The 7,236-nt window shown below is 49.7% G+C and overlaps 2 annotated features.

Moving 5' to 3' along the window:
* Positions 5,699-6,199: an enhancer, noted in NCBI's record as "H3K4me1 hESC enhancer chr10:745902-746402 (GRCh37/hg19 assembly coordinates)". NCBI's record gives its function as "activates a minimal SCP1, AML or CMV promoter by ChIP-STARR-seq in naive H9 embryonic stem cells {active_cell/tissue: H9 hESC(naive)}" and the evidence as "EXISTENCE:reporter gene assay evidence [ECO:0000049][PMID:30033119]".
* Positions 6,200-6,700: an enhancer, noted in NCBI's record as "H3K4me1 hESC enhancer chr10:746403-746903 (GRCh37/hg19 assembly coordinates)". NCBI's record gives its function as "activates a minimal SCP1, AML or CMV promoter by ChIP-STARR-seq in naive H9 embryonic stem cells {active_cell/tissue: H9 hESC(naive)}" and the evidence as "EXISTENCE:reporter gene assay evidence [ECO:0000049][PMID:30033119]".

Consider the following 7,236-nt stretch of genomic DNA (forward strand, 5'->3'; position numbering starts at 1 on the left):
GCAGTCAAGAGATCATTAACATTTTTGTGACACAGGTGTTTTTCACAACATTATAGAATTAACTCTGTAATGTGACTATGACTAAGTTTGGTAAACCAGAGGTACATTTTCCTGTCTATTGGTGGTTACTGTCTTCCTCTGGAAGTAACAAACTATCCAATCTATTTACTGAAGAACAAGTACATTAGTAAAAGAGAAAAAGCAAGAAATACTCCCAGAGATTCCCACACTACAATTAATTTGCTTTTCCATTTAATTGATGGAAGTACTGAGAATTCAACTGTGAGTCAAAAATATTTTGATGGAAAAACAAGTTGTGAAATGTATCCTGAGCAAATCACCTAAGTGTTTGGTTGTATATGTTATTATACATCGATATACAATTATCGATAATTGAATTATTTCTGGTAATTTGAGTAATTTCAGTTAATTCTTAATCACTGTGCTAATGATAACACAGGCAGTACAAAATAACAAATTATGCAAAAATTGCTCCTGTTTTATCTTAGATTATATAATACTTTACAGCATATTTCCTTTGCCAATTATGATTAATGTCTGGCTTACTTAAGCTATTGTTAAAATTAATTACCATTTTCAGAACCCATATCCACTAACAGCTGAGACAAGCAACACACAAGCTTCTGAAGTAGAAAGGAGAGGCTGGAGACTAAAATTTTGCCATCAAAAATTGGCAAAGCGAGAAAGTGTCAGAAAATTTTAAAATTGACCTTATTCTTCAAAATGGGAAAACACGCACACACCCCAAGTCAAGAGCATTCCCAGATGGCTTCTGCGGTGAGACCCCACTACAGTGCTCTTGAGTTGCGTGAGTCACAGAAGCTTGTGGCTGTGGCCCAAGTCTGGGCCATCTCACACCCACACCTGACAAAAGCAAAGAAAAACAGAGAGGGTCGTGAGGCTCCACTGTCCACACTGAGGCCACAGTGATCCAGGGAGTCCAGCAGCTGTGAGACCAGGCTGCCTAACCATCACCTGGCAAACCAGAGGTTGAAGCTTCATTTGTCGAGAAAGGTCTGGGGGAGTCTGAGACAAGGGCCCTCCCGGAACATCCAGACCCCACTCAGGCAGGAGTGCTGCTGTGGCTGGCACTGTGTCTCAGGTCCTTGCCGTCCTGGCCACCGATGTCTTAGGCTGGGCTCCAGGAAGCGGGGCCTGAGGCAGGGGCTGGGGGGCAGGTGCCTCCTGGAGGGTGTGCGCTGCAGACAGAACCTGTCACGGGGTGACCACCTCAGCACAGGAAGAAGCAGAGCCCTTGGCCCTGCCACTCAGGACACCACAGGGCCAGTCCTCAGGGCAAGACAACGGCCTGGGCCAGCCGGGTGTGGGCAGAGAGCAGCCCACCCATCGGCTCATCACACTGGGAACACGCGTGGCTGTGACCCACCCATGGCCACATGACAGCCGCTGGAGGATGGGGCACCCAGCCTACAGCGCCCGAGCAGCCTCGCTGAGAACCACCACATGTCAGCTGGGCAGAAACCAGGAACCCGCAGGCTCACATCCACCAAGCAGTGTGTCCGGGCAGATGGCGTCTCAGAGGGTGAGGATCCCCCATGATCTCTGGGGACCCACAGGTGAGGATCCTGTGTGACCTCTGGGGACCCACAGCTCCTCATATCCAGCGAGCAGTGCGTCCAGGCGGATGGCATCTCAGAGGGTGAGGGTCCTGCATGATGTCTGGGGACCCGCGGGTGAGGATCCTGTGTGATCTCTGGGGACCCGCAGGTGAGGATCCTGTATGATCTCTGGGGACCCACAGCTGCTCACATCCACCAAGCAGTGCGTCCAGGTGGACGGCATCTCAGAGGGTGAGGGTCCTGTGTGATCTCTGAACTCGCAGGTGAGGGTCCCTTGTGATTTCTGGGGACCCGCAGCTGCTCACATCCAACAGGCAGTGCGTCCGGGTGTACGGCATCTGAGAGGGTGAGGATCTTGTGTGATCTCTGGGGACCCACAGCTCCTCATATCTAGCAAGCAGTGTGTCTGGGCAGACGGCGTCTCAAAGGGTGAGGGTCCTGTGTGATCTTTGAGGAGAACATCGGATGTACATGATTCAGGGTTTTTTGGTTTATTTTCTACGTTACTCTTTTTTGTTTTATTTTTATGACTCCATTTGCTTTGTGTGGACTCATGAAGAATTTTAGACAGCATCCTTTGCCAAGCCATGTGCTGGATGTCATATAGGACGTGGCTCAGGAGCTTACACACATGCAGGGCCTGTAGTCTTAGGACGTGGCTCAGGAGCTTACAGGCATGCAGGGCCTGTAGTCCTAGGATGTGGCTGAGGAGCTTACATGCATGCAGGGCCAGTAGTCCTAGGACGTGGCTTAGGAGCTTACATGCATGCAGGGCCAGTAGTCCTAGGACGTGGCTTAGGAGCTTACACTCAGGTAGGGCCTACAGTCCTAGGACGTGTCTCAGGAGCTTACACGTGTAGGGCCTGTAGTCCTAGGACATGGCTCAAGAGCTTACATGCATGCAGGGCCGGTAGTCCTAGGACGTGGCTCAGGAGCTTTCACGTGTAGGGCCGGTAGTCCTAGGACGTGGCTCAGGAGCTTACACGTGTAGGGCCTGTAGTCCTAGGATGTGGCTCAAGAGCTTACATGCATGCAGGGCCGGTAGTCCTAGGACGTGGCTTAGGAGCTTACACTCAGGTAGGGCCTAGTCCCAGGACGTGGGTCAGGAGCTTACACTCAGGTAGGTCCTACAGTCCTAGGACGTGGCTCAGGAGCTTACACACGTGTAGGGCCTGTAGTCCCAGCGACAGACACAAAAGGAAACAGAAGCCGGTGGACACCCCTGGAAAGTCAGGCCTTTTTAGCCAGGAGAGGTTAGTTTATAAGGAACCATGGATTGTCCAAAAGATCTGATTCAAAACCCTTCCCCTGCCCATGGGGACCTTGTGTCACTCAGCCCTCGAAGTGCATGGCCAGGGCCTCTCCCAGACCAGCTGCTCATCTCCCCCGCCCCAGGTGCTGCCCGGCTGGTGGTTTCCCTCTGGTGGTCAGACCTCCGGTGTGGGCGTGGGGGATCTTGGCAGGTTGTCACGCTCTGCACGCGGCTTCCGTGAGCCTGACCAGGCTCCGGTTTCCTTCCCCACTCCTCACCCTGCCCTGGCTCAGAGAGAAACGGGCACACGGGGCCCTGGATCCCCGTTCCTGGAACGCCTCTCTGGATGCTCACTGAGGACATTTCCCCGCGGGGCCTTCATGCAACGCCAAAGCCAAGGTTTCCGCACGCACAGGCTCCTCGGGAATCTGACCCCAGATGGGAAAGCGTGGCCAGGCAGACAGTCACAGAGTCTTGGCCAAAGCACTTGCACCAGACACCCCCTGACGCCCCACAGCTACAGGGGAGGGCACTGAGGAGACCGCCTATCCCAAAGCAGCTTGCCCCAGCCCCGCAGGCTCAGACGCACGTCCCCCTTCCTGCAGCCCCCGTAACAGCTTGCCCCAGCCCCGCAGGCTCAGACCCACGCACCCCTTCCTGCAGCCCCTCTAGCATCCTCCTTTCCAGCCTCACCAAGGGCTGCACGTGGTTTCTCAAGGAGTTTAGACCCCAGGAAAAAGTAGTTGTGCAAAAAACTCACAGGAGAGCAAAGCAGAATTTAGCAAGTACCATGAGTAGCGTGTTCCTGAGGAAGGTGAAGAACGAGGAGGTTAATTTGAAAATCATTCACTCTTGCTCGGGTCTCCGGTGGGCACGCCCATTGTGTGGCACCTACTCCATTCCCTTCACGGGAAGGCGCGGCTGTCACTCCCTCCAACCATGGGCCTCCGCAGAACGTTAGATGAAAATACTCTGAAGCACAGGAAAGAGAGAAAGAAAAAGATTCGAGGGTGGAAAGAAAGAGGTCAGGAACGGAGGGAAGGACAGACAAGGGATAGGAACACAGAGGGTGTGCTCTCACGGAGAAAGATCCGTGTTAGCAACAGGGGAAGAGATGGATGAAGCAAAAGACAAATGCAGACAGAAATAGAGTTGAACTCATGATTTTTAAGATATGATAAATCAGATTTTTTTTAAACAATAGGGATGCAAAATGCTGTAGGTTTTTTTGTTGTTTTGTTTTTGAGACAGTGTCCCACTGTGTCGCCCAGGCTGGAGTGCAATAGCACGATCTCGGCTCACTGCAACCTTCGCCTCCTGGGTTCAAGCGATTCTTTTGCCTCAGCCTCCTGAGTAGCTGGGACTACAGGCGTGTGCCACCACACCCGGCTAATTTTTGTATTTTTTAGTAGAGACGGGGTTTCACCACTTTGGCCAGGCTGGTCTCAAACTCCTGACCTCAAGCGATGTGCCCGCCTTGGCCTCCCAAAGTCCTGGGATTACGGGCGTGAGCCACCACGCCCAGCCCAAAATGCTGTTTTTAAACATTGCTGTGGAAATTAGATACTGTGCTCGCTTCAGCAGCATATATACTAAAAATTGGAAATTAGACATTGTATCAGATTCCTGGGGCAGCCATAGCTAAGTGCCACAAACTGGGTGACTTTAAGCAACAGACATCAGCCAGGCACGCTGGCTCATGCCTGTAATCCCAGCACTTTGGGAGGCCAAGGAGGGCAGATCCCTTGAGACCAGCCTGGGCAACACAGAAAGATTTCATCTCTACAAAAGATTAACATGAAAACAATTAGCCAGGCGTGGTGGCGTGCCTGTGGTCCCAGCTACTCAGGAGGCTGAGGACTACCTTGGCCCCGGAGTTTGAGATTGCAGTAATCTATGATTGTGCCACTGCGCTCCAGTTTTGGTGACAGAAGGAGACCCTGTCAATCAGTCAATTAATCAATAAAAGGAAAAACAAAACCCCAGAAAGGTCTTGTCTCAGTCCTGGGGCTGGACGTCTGAGATCCAGCTGTCAGCAGGGCCCTGCTCTCCCTGACTCCTGGAGGGGTAGATCCTTCCCATCTTTCCAGCTCCTGGGAGCTCTGCAGTGCTTGGCATTTGGCAGCTCATCACCGCATCCCTCCAGCCTCTGACTCCATGACCGCACTGCCGTCTTCCCTCAACTGTGCTGGCTCCAAATGTCCCCTTTTTATGAGGACATCAGTCATATTGGATTAGGACCCACAGTAACGACCTGATCTTGACATGGCTAAATCTGCAAACACCCTATTTCCAAAATAGCTACACTCTGAGGTGCTAAGGATTAGGACTTCCATCTATCTTCTTTTGGGGGACACAGTTCACCCCATAACAGATGTTAATATGAGGGAAAACAAATTTAGGCAGAGACTTTGCATCCTGAGCATCGGAAACTACAGAGGGTTAACTCTCACACGGTAAATGAATGAACCAAAGCTGTGGAGTGCAGTGGAAGAAATTATTAGTAACATATGGTACACAACTTCTACAATTTTTGAATAACAAAGAAACTAAAAGGCAACGAACAGGCGATTACAAAAGAGACGGGTTTTATTTCTAGAATATGAGAAACGGATCCTGCTCATCTCATCTGCTGATTAACTGATGGGCTGCCAGACAGTTTCATTTGACATCACACATTTCAGGTCACCTTAGTAAATGGATGGCTACTCCGACAGACAGTGCCTCTGGTTATAATTTTCTGAGACCAAAATATTCCCTTTCATTATCATAAAACTTCTACTAGTGAATGTGTCTTAGCTCTTCAGAGAAGCGCACTTCCTAGTACTGGCCCATAAAAATGAGCTGCAGTAACAGGAAGCCCCTCTGCACTGGGGCTGGCTCCTCTGTCAAGCAGAGACCACCCTGGAGAACAGACGGGGGAGTTTCCTGCACACACAGTCACCCCTTCGAGGAAGAAGAGGAGCCACCTCCGGACTGTGCACACCCATTTCTTCTTCACTCTCAACAGTCGGGTCAATCCTCCACTCTCCTGGGCAGTGTGTGCATGAGCGTGCACCTGTGTGTGCTATGTGTGCATGCATGCATGTGCACTGTGTGTGGTGTATGTGCATGAGCATGCACTGTGTGGTGTGTGTGCGTGAGCGTGCACTGTGTGGTGTGTGTGCATGCATGAGTGTGCACCTGTGTGTGCTGTGTGTGCATGCATGTGTGTGCACTGTGTGGTGTGTGTGCATGAGCATGCACTGTGTGTGGTGTGTGTGCATGCATGAGCGTGCAACTGTGTGTGGTGTGTGTGCATGCATGAGTGTGCACCTGTGTGTGCTGTGTGTGCATGCATGCGTGTGCACTGTGTGGTGTGTGTGCATGAGCATGCACTGTGTGTGGTGTGTGTGCATGCATGAGCGTGCAACTGTGTGGTGTGTGTGCATGCATGAGCGTGCACCTGTGTGTGGTATGTGTGCATGCATGAGCGTGCACTGTGTGTGGTGTGTGTGCATGCATGAGTGTGCACTTGTGTGTGCTGTGTGTGCATGCCTGTGCCTGCACTGTGTGTGGGTATGTGCATGAGCATGCACTGTGTGTGGTGTGTGTGCAGGCATCGGCGTGCACCTGTGCGTGGTGTGTGTGCACGCATAAGCATGCACCTGTGTGTGTATGTAAAGAAAGGCTAGGAATGAACAGAGCTCCCTCCACACGGAAGAAAATATGACGCATGGGAAGATGTCTTCCCTGCAAAAGTAAAATAATTAAAAACTGGAATTGACATATTAACGGATGTGATTAGCCTGGCTGAAAATTGTGTGAGAGCCTCTTTTAAGGAATGGGGAAAATTACAAATGGCTACACAGAAACTAATCTAATAGGACAAATAAGGCAATTAACTTTAGGAAAAACAAAAAGAAAGGATCCATGGTGATAGCAGATGCTAAGCTCTGGATAACCCTTGCTTGTAATGTGATGACGTGGTTTGACTTGGGGATAGCATTTTGCTATTTGTTTTCGGTATTTTGTTTTTCTGTTCCTCCTTTCCTGACTTCTTTTGGACTAGTCAAAATTTTTTAGTATCTCATTTTAACTCCCTTTTTCTTACATGTCCTTGCACTGCTTTCTGTATTGTTGTCATATATATTATATATTCGTACATTATAAACCTCACAAAGCAGTGAGATACTATTTGGGTTACCAGTAATATGACTTTTGAAAAATTAGAAGAAAAAATGTAAAGTATGAAGTCTTTTCTATTTACCATTCTAGAGGCTGTTCATCCATTCCTATAGATCTGAATTTCTATCTAGGGTCATGAAGAACTTCCTTTAGAATTCTTGTAATACAATTATGCTTGGAGCGAAATATCTTTACTGCATCTTCAATTTTAAATGA

Source organism: Homo sapiens, chromosome 10, assembly GCF_000001405.40.
Source record: "Homo sapiens chromosome 10, GRCh38.p14 Primary Assembly".
NCBI classification, from domain to species: Eukaryota; Metazoa; Chordata; class Mammalia; order Primates; family Hominidae; genus Homo; species Homo sapiens.